Source organism: Homo sapiens, chromosome 9 (assembly GCF_000001405.40).
Source record: "Homo sapiens chromosome 9, GRCh38.p14 Primary Assembly".
Classification (NCBI taxonomy): domain Eukaryota; kingdom Metazoa; phylum Chordata; class Mammalia; order Primates; family Hominidae; genus Homo; species Homo sapiens.
In genome coordinates this window covers 40,879,468-40,893,489 of record NC_000009.12, presented here as the reverse complement: position 1 = coordinate 40,893,489, position 14,022 = coordinate 40,879,468, and the positions used below count along the sequence as shown (strand labels likewise).

The 14,022-nt window shown below is 41.1% G+C and overlaps 4 annotated features.

Moving 5' to 3' along the window:
* Positions 2,177–2,918: an enhancer, noted in NCBI's record as "OCT4-NANOG hESC enhancer chr9:66843600-66844341 (GRCh37/hg19 assembly coordinates)". NCBI's record gives its function as "activates a minimal SCP1, AML or CMV promoter by ChIP-STARR-seq in naive and primed H9 embryonic stem cells {active_cell/tissue: H9 hESC(naive and primed)}" and the evidence as "EXISTENCE:reporter gene assay evidence [ECO:0000049][PMID:30033119]".
* Positions 11,260–12,095: an enhancer, noted in NCBI's record as "OCT4-NANOG-H3K27ac-H3K4me1 hESC enhancer chr9:66834423-66835258 (GRCh37/hg19 assembly coordinates)". NCBI's record gives its function as "activates a minimal SCP1, AML or CMV promoter by ChIP-STARR-seq in primed H9 embryonic stem cells {active_cell/tissue: H9 hESC(primed)}" and the evidence as "EXISTENCE:reporter gene assay evidence [ECO:0000049][PMID:30033119]".
* Positions 12,096–12,931: an enhancer, noted in NCBI's record as "OCT4-NANOG-H3K27ac-H3K4me1 hESC enhancer chr9:66833587-66834422 (GRCh37/hg19 assembly coordinates)". NCBI's record gives its function as "activates a minimal SCP1, AML or CMV promoter by ChIP-STARR-seq in naive and primed H9 embryonic stem cells {active_cell/tissue: H9 hESC(naive and primed)}" and the evidence as "EXISTENCE:reporter gene assay evidence [ECO:0000049][PMID:30033119]".
* Positions 12,932–13,768: an enhancer, noted in NCBI's record as "OCT4-NANOG-H3K27ac-H3K4me1 hESC enhancer chr9:66832750-66833586 (GRCh37/hg19 assembly coordinates)". NCBI's record gives its function as "activates a minimal SCP1, AML or CMV promoter by ChIP-STARR-seq in primed H9 embryonic stem cells {active_cell/tissue: H9 hESC(primed)}" and the evidence as "EXISTENCE:reporter gene assay evidence [ECO:0000049][PMID:30033119]".

The window sequence follows — 14,022 nt, the reverse complement described above, 5'->3', positions numbered from 1 at the left end:
AAATCAAAAGAAAGGTTCAATTCTGTGAGATGAATGCACACATCACAAAAAGTTTCACAGAATTCTTCTGTCTAGTTTTTATGGGAAGAAATTACCTTTCCCACCATTGGCCTCAAAGTGCTCCAAATGTCCACTTGCAGATTCTACAAAGAGAATTTCAAAACTACTCAAAAGAAAGATTTCACTCTGTGAGACGAATGCACATATCACAAAGAAGTTCTCAGGTTGCTTCTCTTGAGCTTTTATGTGAAGTTATTTCCTTTTCTACCATTGACCGCAAAGTGCTCCAAATGTCCAACTGCAGATTCTACTAAGAGTGTTTCCAAACTGCTCAATCAAAAGAAAGATTCAACTCTGTGAGATGAACCTGCACATTCCAAAGAAGTTTCTCAGAGTTCTTCTGTCTAGTTTTTATGTGAAAATATTTCCTTTTCCACCGTAGGCCTCAAAGCACTAAAAATGTGCATTTGTAGATTCTATAAAAAGAGAGTTTCAAAACTGATCAATGAAAAGAAAGGTTTCCTCTTTGAGATGAATGCACATATAACAAAAAATTTATCAGATTGCTTCTGTCTAGATTTTATGTGAAGATGTTTCCTTTTCTACCATAAGCCACAAAGCGCTCCAAATGTCCACTTGCAGATTCTTGAAAAAGAGTGTTTCCAACAGCTCAATCAAAAGAAAAGTTCAACTCTGTGAGATGAATGAACACATCACAAACAATTTCTCAGAATGCTTCTGTCTAGTTTTTATTTGAACATATTTCCTTTTCCACAATAATCCTGAAAGCGCTCCAAACATCCAATTGCAGATTCTACAAAAAGAGTGTTTCAAAACTGCTCATCAAAAGAAAGGTTCAACTCTGTGAGATTAATGCACACATCACAAAGAAATTTCTCAGAATTCTTCTGTCTAGCTTTAATGTGAAGATATTTTCTATTCCCCAATAGGCCCCACAACAGGCCTCGAAGCCCTCCAAATATCCACCTGCAGACTCCACAAAAAGAGTGCTTCCAACTGCTCAATCAAAAGAAAGGTTCAACTCTGTGAGATGAATGCACACATCACAAAGAGGTTTCTCAGAATTCTTCTGTCTAGTTTTTATGTGAAGATATTTCCTCTTCCACTACAGGTCTCAAAGTGCCCCAAATGTCCACTTTCAGATTCTAGAAAAAGAGAGTTTCAAAACTGTTGAATCAGAAGAGAGGTTTAACTCTGTGAGATGAATGCGCACATCACAAAAGTAGTTTCTCAGATTGCTTCTTTCTAGATTTTATGTGAAGATATTTCTTTTTCTACCATAGGCTGCAAAGCGTTCCAAATGTCCACTTGCAGATTCTACAAAACGAGTGTTTCCAAACTGCTCAATTAAAAGAATGATTCAACTCTGTGAGATGAACACACACATCACAAAGTTTCTGAGCATTCTTCTGTCTAGTTTTTATGTGAAGTTATTTCCTTTTCCACCATAGGCCTCTATGCACTCCAAATGTCCACTTGCAGATTCTTGAAAAAGAGAGTTTCAAAACTGCTCAATCAAAAAAAGGTTTAACTCTGTGAGATGAATGCACACATAACAGAAATGTTTCTCAGATTGCTTCTGTCTAGATTTTATATGAAGATATTTACTTTTCTACCATAGGCCGCAAAGCACACAAAATGTCCACTTTCAGATACTCCAAAAAGAGTGTTTCCAAACTTCTCAATGAAAAGAAAGTTTCAACTCTGAGAGACGAACGCTCACATCACAAAGAAGTTTCACAGAATTCTTCAGTGTAGTTTTTATGTGAAGATATTTCCTTTTCCATCACAGGTCTCAAAGCGCTCCAAATGTCCACTTGCAGATGCTACAAAAAGAGAGTTTCAAAACTCCTAAATCAAAAGAAAGGTTTTACTCTGTGAGATGAATGCCCACATCGTAAAGAAGTTTCTCAGATTAGTTCTATCGAGATTTTATATGAAGATATTTCCTTTTCTACCATAGGCAGCAAATCGCTCCAAATGTCCACTTGCAGATTCTACAAAAAGAGTGTTTCCAAACTGCTCAATAAGAAGAAAGGTTCAACTCTGTGAGATGAATGAGCACATGAGAAAGACGTTTCTCAAAATTCTTCTGTCTAGTTCTTATGTGAAGATACTTATTCTTCCACCATAGGCCGCAAAATGCTCTAAATGTCCACTTGCAGATTCTACAAAAAGAGTATTTCCAAGTTGCTCAATCAAAAGAAAGGTTCAACTCTGTGGGAGGAACACACACATCACAAAGAAGTTTCTCAGAATTCTTCTGTGTAGTTTTTATGTGAAGATATTACCTTTTCCACCATAGGCCTCAAATCGCTCCAAATGTCCACTTGCAGATTCTACAAAAAGAGAGTTTCAAAACTGCTCAATAAAAAGAATGGTTTAACTCTGAGATATATGCACACACCACAAAGAAGTTTCTCAGATTGCTTCTGTCTAGATTTTATGTGAAGATATTTCCTTTCCTACCATAGGCTGCAAAGCCCTCCAAATGTCCACTTGCAGGTTGTACAAAAAGAGTGTTTCCAAACTGCTCAATCAAAAGAAAGGTTCAACTCTCTGAGATGAACGCACACATCACAAAGAAGTTTCTTAGAATTCTTCTGTCTAGTTTTTATGCGAAGATATTTCCTTTTCCAAAATAGGCCTGAAAGCGCTCCAAATGTGCACTTGCAGATTCTACAAAAAGACAGTTTCAAAACTGCTTAATCAAAAGAAAGGTTTATCTCTCTGAGCTGAGTGCACACATCGCAAAAAATTTCTCAGATTGCTTCTGTCTATATTTTATGTGAAGATGTTACCTTTTCTACCATAGGCTACAAAGCACTCCAAATGTCCACTTGCAGATTCTACAAAAAGAGTGTTTCCAACAGCTCAATCAAAAGAAATGTTCACCTCTGTGAGATGAATGAACACATCTCAAGCAAGTTTCTCAGAATGCTTCTGTTTAGTTTTTATTTGAAGATATTTCCTTTTCCACAATAGTCCTGAAAGCGCTCCAAACATCCACTTGCAGATTGTACAAAAAGAGTGTTCCAAAACTGCTCAATCAAAGAAAGGTTCAACTCTCTGAGATTAATGCACACATAACAAAGAAGATTCTCAGAATGTTTCTATCTAGTTTTAATGTGAAGATATTTCCTATTCCACAATAGGCCCCACAATAGGCATCAAAGCCCTCCAAATATCCTCCTGCAGATTCCACAAAAAGGATGTTTCAAAACTGCCCAATCAAAAGTAAGTTTCAACTGTGTGAGATGAATACACATATCACAAAGAAGGTTGTCAGAATGCTTTGGTCTAGTTTTTATCTGAAGATATCTCCTTTTCCACCATAGTCCTAAAAGTGCTCCAAATGTCCACAAGCACATTGTACAAAAAGAGCATTTCCAAACTGCTCAATGAAAAGAAAGGCTCAGCTCTGTGAGATGAATGCACAGATCACAAAGAAATTTGACAGAATGCTTCTGTTTAGTTTTTATGTGAAGATGTTTTCTTTTCCACCAGAGGCCTCAAAGCGCTCCCAATGTCCACTTGCAGATTTTATGAAAGGAGTGTTTCAAAGCTACTCCAACAACAGAAAGGTTCAACTCTGTGAGTTGAATGCACACATCACAAAGAAGTTTCTGAGAATGCTTCTGTCTAGTTATTATGTGAAGATATTTCGTTATCCACCATAGACCTCAAAGCACTCCAGATGTCCACTTGCAGATTCTGCAAAAAGAGTGTTTCAAAACTGCTCAATTGAAAGTAAAATTCAACTCTGTGAGATGAATTCACACTTCACAAAGAAACATCTCGGAATGCTTCTGTCTAGTTCTTATGTGAAGATATTTCTATTTCCACCATAGGCCTCAAAGCGCCCCAAAAGTCCACTTGCAGATTCTACAAAAAGAGATTTTCAGAATTGCTCAGTGAAAAGAAAAAGTTAACTCTGTGAGATGAATGCACACATCACAAAGAAGTTTTTCAGACTGCTTCAGTCTAGATGCTATATGAAGATATTTCCTTTTCTACCTTAGACAGCAAAGCGCTCCAAATGTCCAATTGCAGATTATACAAAAACAGTGTTTCAAAACTGTTCAATCAAAAGAAAGGTTCAACACTGTGAGATGAACGCACACATCACAATGATGTTTCTCAGAAATCTTCTGTCTAGTTTTTATGTGAAGATATTTCCTTTTACACCATAGGCCTCAAAGTGCTAAAAATGTCAACTTGCGTTTTCTACAAAAACAGAGTTTCAAAACTGCACAATCAGAAGAAAGGTTTAACTCTGTGAGATGAATAGACACATCACAAAAAGTTTCTCAAATTCCTTCTGTCTAGATTTTATGTGAAGATATTTTCTTTACTGCCATAGGCTGCAAAGCGCTCCAAAGGTCCGCTAGCAGAATCATCAAAAAGATTGTTTCCAAAATGCTAAATAAAAGAAAGTTTCGACTCTGTGAGATGACCGCATAAATCACAAAGAAGTTTCTCAGAATTCTTCTGTCTAGTTATTATGTTAAGATATTCTCTTTTCCAGGATAGGCCTCAAACCGCTCCAAAGGTCTACTTGCAGCTTCTACAAATGAGAGTTTCAAAACTGCTCAATCCAAAGAAAGGTTTAACATGGTGAGATAAATGCACACATCACAAAGAAGTTTCTCAGATTCCTTCTGTCTAGATTTTATGTGAGGATATTTCCTATTCTACCATAGCACACAAAGCGCTTTAAATGTCCACTTGCAGATTCTTCAAAAAGAGTATTTCAAAACTGGTCCTTCAAAGGAAAGATTCAACTCTGGGAGGTGAATGCACACATCACAAAGAAGTTTCTCAGAATGCTTCTATCTAGTTTTTATATGAAGATATTACCTTTTCCACATTGGCCTCAAAGTGCTCAAAATGTCCACTTGCAGATTCTACAAAAAGAGTGTTTCCAAACTGCTCAATCAAAAGAAAGGTTCAACTCTATGAGATGAACACACACATCACAAATAAGTTTGTCATAATGCTTCTGTCTAGATTTTATGTGAAGATATTTAATTTTCCATAATAGGCCTCAAAGTGCTCCAATGTCCACTTGCAGATTCTACAAAAAGAGTGTTTCAAAGCTGCTCAATCAAAAGAAAGTTACAACTCTGTGAGATGAATGCACACATCACAAAGAAGCTTGTCAGGATGCATCTGTCTAATTTTTATGTGAAAATATTCCCTTTTCCACCATAGGCCTCAAAGTGCTCCAAATGTCCACTTGCAGATTCTACAAAAAGCGTGTTTCAAAGCTGCTCAATCAAAAGAAAGTTTCAAGTCTGGGAGATGAATGCACACATCACAAGGAAGTTTGTGAGAATGCTTCTGTCTAGTTTTCATGTGAAGATCTTTCCTTTTCCACCAGAGACCTCAAGGCGCTCCAAATGTCCACTTGCAGATTCTACAAAAAGAGAGATGCAAGACTGCTCAATGAAAAGTAACGTTCAATTCTGTGAGGTGAATGCACACATCACAAAGAAGATTCTCAGAATTTTTCTGTCTAGTTTTTATGTGAAGATGTTTCATTTTCCACCATAGACCCCAAGACGCTCGAATGGTTCACTTGCAGATTCTACAAAAAGATTGTTTCAAAGCTGCTCAAACAAAGGAAAGGTTCAACTCTCTGAGATGAATGCACATGTCACAAAGAAGTTTTTCAAAAAGCTTCTGTCTTGTTTTGATGTGAAGATATTTTCTTTTCCACCATAGGCCTCAAAGTGCTGCAAATGTCCACTTCCAGATTCTACAGAAAGAGTGTTTCAAAGCTGCTCAATGAAAAGTAAGGTTCAACTCTGTGAGATGAATGCACACATCACAAAGAAGTTTGTCAGAATGCTTCTGTCTAGGTTTTATGTGAAGATATTTCCTTTTCCATGATAGGCCCCAAAGCACTCCACAGGTCCAGTTGTAGATTCTACAAAAAGAATGTTTCAAAGCTGCTCAATCAAAAGAAACGTTCATCTCTGTGACATGAATGCACACATCACAATGAAATTTATCAGAATGCTTCTGTCTAGTTTTTTTGTGAAAATATTTCCTTTTCCACCATAGGCCTCAAAGTGCTCCAAATGTCCACTTGTAGATTCTACAAACAGAGTGTTTAAAAACTGCTAAATGAAAAGAAAGATTCAACTCTGTGAGATGAATACACACATCACGAAGAAGTTTGTCAGAATGCTTCTGTCTAGTTTTTATATGTTGATATGTCCTTTTCCACAATAGGCCAGAAAGTGCTCCAAATGTCCACTTGCAGATTCAACAAAAAGAGTGTTTCAAAGCTGCTCAATGTAAAGAAAGGTTCAACACTGTGAGCTGAATGACCACATCTCAAAGAAGTTTGTAAGAATGCTTCTGTCTAGTTTTTATGTGAACATATTTCCTTTTCCACCATAGGCCTCAAAGGGCTCCACATGTCCTCTTGCTGATTCTACAAAAAGAGGGTTTCAAAGCTGCTCAATTAAAAGAACAGTTCAACTCTGTGTGAGATGAATGCAAACATCACAAAGAAGTTTCTCATAATGCTTCTGTCTAGTTTTGTTGGGAAGATATTTCCTTTTCCACCATATGCCTCAAAGCGCTCCAAATGCACACTTGCAGATTCTACAAAAATGGTGTTTCAAAACTGACCAATCAAAAGTAAGGTTCAACTCTTTGAGATGAATGCAGACATCACAAAGTAGTTTTTCAGAATGCTTCTGTCCAGTTTTTATGTGAAGATAAGTCCTTTTCTACTATAGGCCTCAAAGCACTCGAAATGTACACTTGCAGATTCTACAAAAAGTGTGTTTCAAAGCTGCTCAATCAAAAGAAAGGTTCAATTCTGTGAGATGAATGCATGCATCATGAAGAAGTTTGTCAGAATGCTTTTGTCTATTTTTTTTTTTTTTTGTGAGCAACAAGGCTGTTTATTTCACCTGAGTGCAGGTGGGCTGAGTCCAAAAAGAGAGCAAAAGGTGATTGGATTATCATTAGTTCTTATAGGTTTTGGAATAGGCAGTGGAGTTAGGAGCAATGTTTTGCGGGCAGGAGTTGGATCTCACAAAGTACATTCTCAAGGGTGGGGAGAATTACAAATTACAAAGAACCTTCTCAAAGGTGAGGGAGATTAAAAAGAACTTTCTTAAGGGTGGGGGAGATTACAAAATACATCAGTTAGTGTGAAGCAGAAACAAAACACAATGGTGGAATGTCATCAGTTAAGGCTATTTTCACTTCTTTTGTGGATCTGGGACGTGAGGAGTGCCTCTGCCTGGACGCCCATTGTCTGGGATGTGAGGAGCGCCTCTGCCCGGCCGCCCCATCTGGGAAGTGAGGAGCTCCTCTGCCTGGCCACCCCGTCTGAGAAGTGAGGAGCGCCTCTGCCCGGCCGCCCCATATGGGAAGTGAGGAGCGCCTCTGCCTGGCCACCCTGTCTGGGAGGTCTACCACAGAGGCCAGACGCAGTGTGGGGGCTGGACGTGGTGGCTCACGCCTGTAATCCCAACACTCTGGGAGGCCAAGGTGGGTTGATCACTTGGGGCTAGGGGTTCGAGACCAGCCTGGTCAACATGGCAAAACATATGAAAATTACAACAAACCAAACAACCAATCAACCAACCCAGCAACAACAAAACAGGTCTACCCTGGAGTCATACTCTAAATTTTTCTATTTTCCTCCCTTTCTGATCCTTTATCCCACTTTCTTTTTCTTCCTCTTCCTTCTCCTTCTTGTCAAAGACATAGAGGATTGAGTTATTATCATTGATCAATACAAAGTCCCTCTCTCATTTATTTTCTTTCATTCCCACCCCCCATTTCTATTCCCCATCTTCCTGTGTGCAACCTTCCTAATATGTTTGATATGCTTCTTTTTGTATATATTTTTAGAAAATGTTAAATAAAAAAAATTTAAGAAAGCCCTGCAAAAGCAGGAAAGCTGAACTGGCTGCTGAGCCCCTTCTGGTTGGCCACACAGTACCCACAACTGTAGCCCCTGGACTCCTAGTGTGGGCTAAGGTGGAGTGGACCCTCTGGCTTGGTCACAGTGCAATGGGCCACCTGGAAACTATCCAAAAGAGAAGACCTACCAGCCCGTGCCCTAGGTGCAGCTGCCACCCGCACATCAGGCACCAGCAGCAATGGCCAGACCATCCCTGATTCTCCATGCCCTCCCCATCCCCACGTCAACAGCAAGGAATCCCTGACAGGATGCTGCAGTAGTGGCTGTCAGGAAGTCGGCTGGGCAGGTGCATAACGATAAAGATAGACTCTCAGCCCCATCCCTATGGCCACGATGTGCTCATCCCCTGGCGGCTCCTCAGCCCTATCCTAGTGGCCACGGAGTGGCATGCAGGCAGCAGCCTTGGGAACCCCGATTGCCCGTCCTCACACGTGCCCATCACAAGACTTGGGCGACGGGGAGGTGAAGTCAGACTGTGTCCCCAGCGGCACCACAAGGCCGAGAACCGGCACTCAGCCTCAACCCCGTGACTGCAGGGTGCCAAGTGCCAGGTCCTGCGCTCTGGGCATGGGTCAGGAGCAGCTGGCAAGGGCAGCACAGCCTGTGGGGCCCTTGGGCATGGCCAGCCGCAGCTCCGGGAAGCCACTGCAGCTCCGGGAAGCCACGTCAGCCCACGGGCACTGCAGCTGCAGCTGCCACCAGCACATGGAGCAGGGGTCACTGAGGATTGGGAATCCCCGACCAGGCTAGCGCCTCCAGCCGCGCAGACCCCGGGGGCCAGCCCAGCCGCGGCAAGTCAGGTAGTCTGCGGCAGGAGCGCCGGACATGGGTTTTGGCCCGGGGTGCAGGAGGCATGCACCCTCTGGCCAGATGGGTGGTGCACTCAGGGCCCAGGAGGCCATCCCAGGGGAACCCCGCCAGCCTCTGCCAGAGCTCAAGCTGAAGCTGCCACCTGCAAGTGGTGCGCTGGCTGCAGCGGTGGCAACCCCAGATCCCATCCTCCCACCTCACGCCCATCAGCGCAGACCCCAGGGGTGACGCAGTGACGAAGTAGGGCTGTGGTCCCAGTGGCAGCACCAGGCGGAGAAGCACCACTCAATCCCATCCCTGGGCTGCAGAGGGCCCAGCGTGGGGGGCTCCGAGCATCGGGAGCCAGTGGAAGAGGAGAAGAGCACGTGGGCGACAGTCAAACAGGCCCTGGGGCAGGGTGTGCCTCATGCTCCAGGGAGCCCCGCCAGCCCGAGGCACCTGAGCAGCAATCGCCGCCTGCACTGGGTGCCACGAGAGAGCTGCTAGGGCGGTTTCTCCACCTCGGGCCTGTTGCTCGGGACCAGCTAAGGTGCACATGCTCGCTGGTCCTGACCATTCTGTTGGGCATTTCTGCTGAGAGGCGGGAGGTGCTGAGAGTCTCTGCGAAGGTCCATGGACAGACTGCATTGCTTGTTGTTGTGCTTCGGAGGCGGCGATCCCCGAAGGCGAGCTGAAATATAGCTGGAGCGTTCCCAGGCTACAATTTGCAGTGACGATTATGGAAGATGAGCCGGAGTGGTGGCCCACCCTCAGGGAGCACTTGTGCTCGTATGGCTTCTCATTTCCCCAGTACCATATTAAATCATCTCATCTGAGGAGGATCCACAGAGCTGTCTTCTGTGGTAATCTGGAGAAAGTGAAATACCTTTGTCTGAGTAGTTGTCGACTTTGTTTCCACATTAACTGGCTGTTTTGTTGTGGCTGCACTTCTGTTTCATTACCTTCATCTTGCAGGACGGAGTCTTGGCCGCAGACTGAGCCTGTACCTCACCCGTCTCCCACCGACTCTTGGTACTGGCCATGGCCATGCTGGGCAGCTCTATGGAGGCCTGGTGGGCTACCTTGGGGGTTCAGTCAGTGATCCTTTCACAGCTGGGGAGTGGAGACTGGGCCTGTGGTGGTGCTGTGTGCCTCCCAGCGCCTGGGGCGGTGCTCTGCACCTCCCGGTGCCTGCGGCGGTGCTGTGCCTTTTGTCTACTTTTTATATGAAGATATTTCCTTTTCCACCATAGGCCTCCAATTGCTCCAAATGTCCGCTTACAGATTCTACAAAAACAGTGTTTCAAAACTGATCAATGAAAAGTAAGGTTCAACTCTGTGAGATTAATGCACACATCACAAAGAAGTTTGTCAGAATGCTTCTGTCTCGTTTTTATGTGAAGATATTTTCTTTTCTTCTATAGCCTTCAAAGTGCTCCAAATGTCCACTGACAGATTCTCCAAAAAGAGTGTATCAAAGCTGCTCAATCTAAAGAAATGTGCAACTCCGTGAGATGAATGCATACAACTCAAAGAAGTTTGTCAGAATGCTTCTGCTTAGTTTTTATGTGAAGATATTTCCTTTTCCACAATAAGGCTCAAGGCACTCCAAATGTCTACCTCCAGATACTACAAAAATAGTGTTTCAAAACTGCTCAATGAAAAGTAAGGTTAAACTCTGTGAGAGGAATGCACACATCACAAAGAAGTTTGTCAGAATGCTTCTATCTAGTTTTTCATGTGAAGATATTTCCTTTTCCACCATAGACCACAAAGTGCTCCAAATATCCACTTGCAGATTCTACAAAAAGAGTGTTTCAAAACTGCTCTATCAAAAGAATGGTTCGACTCTGTTAGTTGAGTACACACATCACAAACATGTTTCTAAGAATGCTTCTGTCTAGTTTTTATGGGAAGATATTTCCTTTTTCACCACAGGCCACAAAGCTCTCCAAATGTCCACTTTGAGATACTACAAAATGAGTGTTTCAAACCTGCTCTATGAAAGGAATGTTCAACTCTGTGTCTTAAATGCAAACATCACCAAGAAATTTCTGAGAATGCTTATGTCTACTTTCTAAATGAAGCTATTCCCGTTTCCAACGAAATCCTCAAAGCTATGCAAATATCCACATGAAGATTCTACAAAAAGAGTGTTTCAAAACTGATGTCTCAAAAGAAAGTTTCAATTCCATTAGCTGAGTACACACAAAACAAACAAGTTTCTGAGAATGCTTCTGTCAACTTTTTATGGGAAGATATTTGCTTTTTCACCATAGGCTTCAAAGCGCCCCAATTGTTTACTTACAGATACTACAAAAAGAGTGTTTCAAACCTGCTCTATGAAAGGAAATGTCCAACTCTGGAGCTTGTATGCAAACATCACAAAGATGTTTCTGAGAATCCTTCTGTGTAGATTTTACATGAAGATATTCCCGTTTCCGACGAAATTCTCAAATCTATGCAAATATCCACATGCAGATTCTACAAAAAGAGTGTTTCAAAACTGCTCTATGAAAAGACATGTTCAACTCCGTTACTTGAGTACACACATCACAGACAAGTTTCTGAGAATGCTTCTGTCTAGTTTTCATGGGATGATATATCCTTTTTCAAAATAGGCCTCAAAGTGCTCCAAATGTCCACTTCCAGATACTACAAAAAGAGTGTTTCAAACCTGCTCTATGAAAGGAAGGTTCAACTCTGTGACTTGCATGGAAACGTCACAAAGAAGTTTCTGAGAATGCTTCTGTCTACTTTTTAAACGAAGATATTCCCATTTCCAACGAAATCCTCAAAGCTATGCAAACATCCACTTGCAGATTCTACAAAAAGAGTGATTCAAAACTGCTCTATCAAAAGAAAGGTTCAACTCTGTTAGTTGAGTACAAACATGACAAACAAGTTTCTGAGAATGATTCTGTCTAGTTTTTATGGGAAGATGTTTCCTCATTCACCACAGGCCTCAAAGCGCTCCAAATTTCCACTTCCGGATACTACAAAAAGAATGTTTCAAACCTGCTCTATGAAAGGGAAGGTTCAAATCTGTGACCTGAATGCAAACATCAGAAAGAAGTTTCTGCGAATGCTTCTGTCTACTTTTTATATTGGCATTCCCATTTCCAACGAAATCCTCAAAGCTATCCAAATATCCACTTGCAGATTCTATAAAAAGATTTTTTCCAAACTGTTCTATCAAAAGAAAGGTTCAACTCTATTAGTTGGGTACACACATAATAAACAAGTTTCTGAGAATGCTTCTGTGTAGTTTTTAAGGGAAGATATTTCCTTTTTCACCATAAGCCACAGAGCTCTCCAAATGTCCACTTCCAAATACTACAAAAAAAGTGTTTCAAACCTGCTCTATGAAAGGGAATGTTTAACTCTGTGACTTGAATGCAGACATCACAAAGATGTTTCTGAGAATGCTTCTGTATAGATTTTATATGAAGATATTCCCATTTCCAACGAAATCCTCAAAGCTATCCAAATAACCACTTGCAGATTCTACAAAAAGTCTGTTTCGAAACTGCTCTATCAAAAGAAACGTTCAACCCTGCTAGTTGAGTACACACATCGCAAACAAGTTTCTGAGAGTTCTTCTGTTTATTTTTATGGGAAGATGTTTCCTTTTTCACAGTAGGACTCAAAGCGCTCCAAATGTCCACTTCCAGATACTACGAAAATTGTGTTTCAAACCTGCTCTATGAAAGAGAATGTTCAAATCTGTGACTTGAATGCAAACATCACAAAGAAGTTTCTGAGAATGCTTCCACTTTTTATATGAATATAATACGTTTCCAACGAAATCCTCAAAGCTATCCAAATATCCACTTGCAGATTCTACAAAAAGAGTGTTTCAAAACTGCTCTATCAAAAGAAAGGTTCAACTCTGTTAGTTGAGTACACACATCACAAACAAGTTTCTGAGAATGCTTCTGTCTAGTTTTTATGCGAAGATATTTCCTTTTTCACCATAGGCCACAAAGCGTTCCAAGTGTCCAGTTCTAGATACTACAAAAACAGTGTTTCAAACCTGCTCTAGGAAAGTGAATGTTCACTTCTGTGACTTGAATGCAAACATCATGAAGATGTTTCTGAGAATGCGTCCTTCTAGATTTTATGTGAAGATATTCCCTTTCCCAACGAAATCCTCAATCTATCCAAATATCCACTTGCAGACTCTACAAAAAGAGTGTTTCAAAACTGCTCTATCAAAAGAAAGGTTCAACTCTGTTAGTTGAGTACACACATCACCAACAAGTTTGTGAGAATGCTTCTGTCTAGATTTTATATGAATATATTCCCATTTCCAACGAAATCCTCAAATCTATCCTAATATCCACTTGCAGATTCTGCAAAAAGAGTGTTTCAAAACTGCTCTATCAAAAGAAAGGTTCAACTCTGTTAGTTGATTACACACATCACAAACAAGTTTCTGAGAATGTTTCTGTCTAGTTTTTATGGGAAGATATTTCCTTCTTCACTATAGGCCAAATAGCGCTCCAAATGTCCAGTTGCAGATACTACAAAAAGAGTGTTTCAAACCTGCTCTATGAAAGGGAATGTTCAACTCTGTGACTTCAATGCAAACATCACAAAGAAGCTTCTGAGAATTCTTCTGTCTAGATTTTATATGAAGATATTCCCTTTCCAACGAAATCCTCAAAGCTCTCGAAATATCCACTTGCAGATTCTACAAAGAGTGTTTCAAAACTGCTCTATCAAAAGAAAGGTTCATCTCTGTTAATTGAGTACACACATCACAAACAATTTTCTGAGAATACTTCTGTCTGGTTTTTTTTTTATGCTTTTATTTTTAGGGTACCTCTGCACATTGTGCAGGTTAGTTACATATGTTTACATGTGCCATGTTGGTGCTCAGCACCCACTAACTCGTCATCTAGCATTAGGTATATCTGCCGAAGCTATCCCTGCCCCCTCCCCCCACCACACAACAGTCCCCAGAGTGTGACATTCCCCTTCCTGTGTCCATGTGACCTCATTGTTCAATTCCCACCCATGAGTGATAATATGCGGTGTTTGGTTTTTTGTTCTTGTGATAGTTTACTGAGAATGATGATTTCCAATTTCATCCATGTCCCTACAAAGACATGAACTCATCATTTTTTATGGCTGCATAGTATTCCATGGTGCATATGTGCCACATTTTCTTAATCCAGTCTATCATTGTTGGACATTTGGGTTTGTTCCAAGTCTTTGCTATTGTGAATAATGCCGCAATAAACATAGTG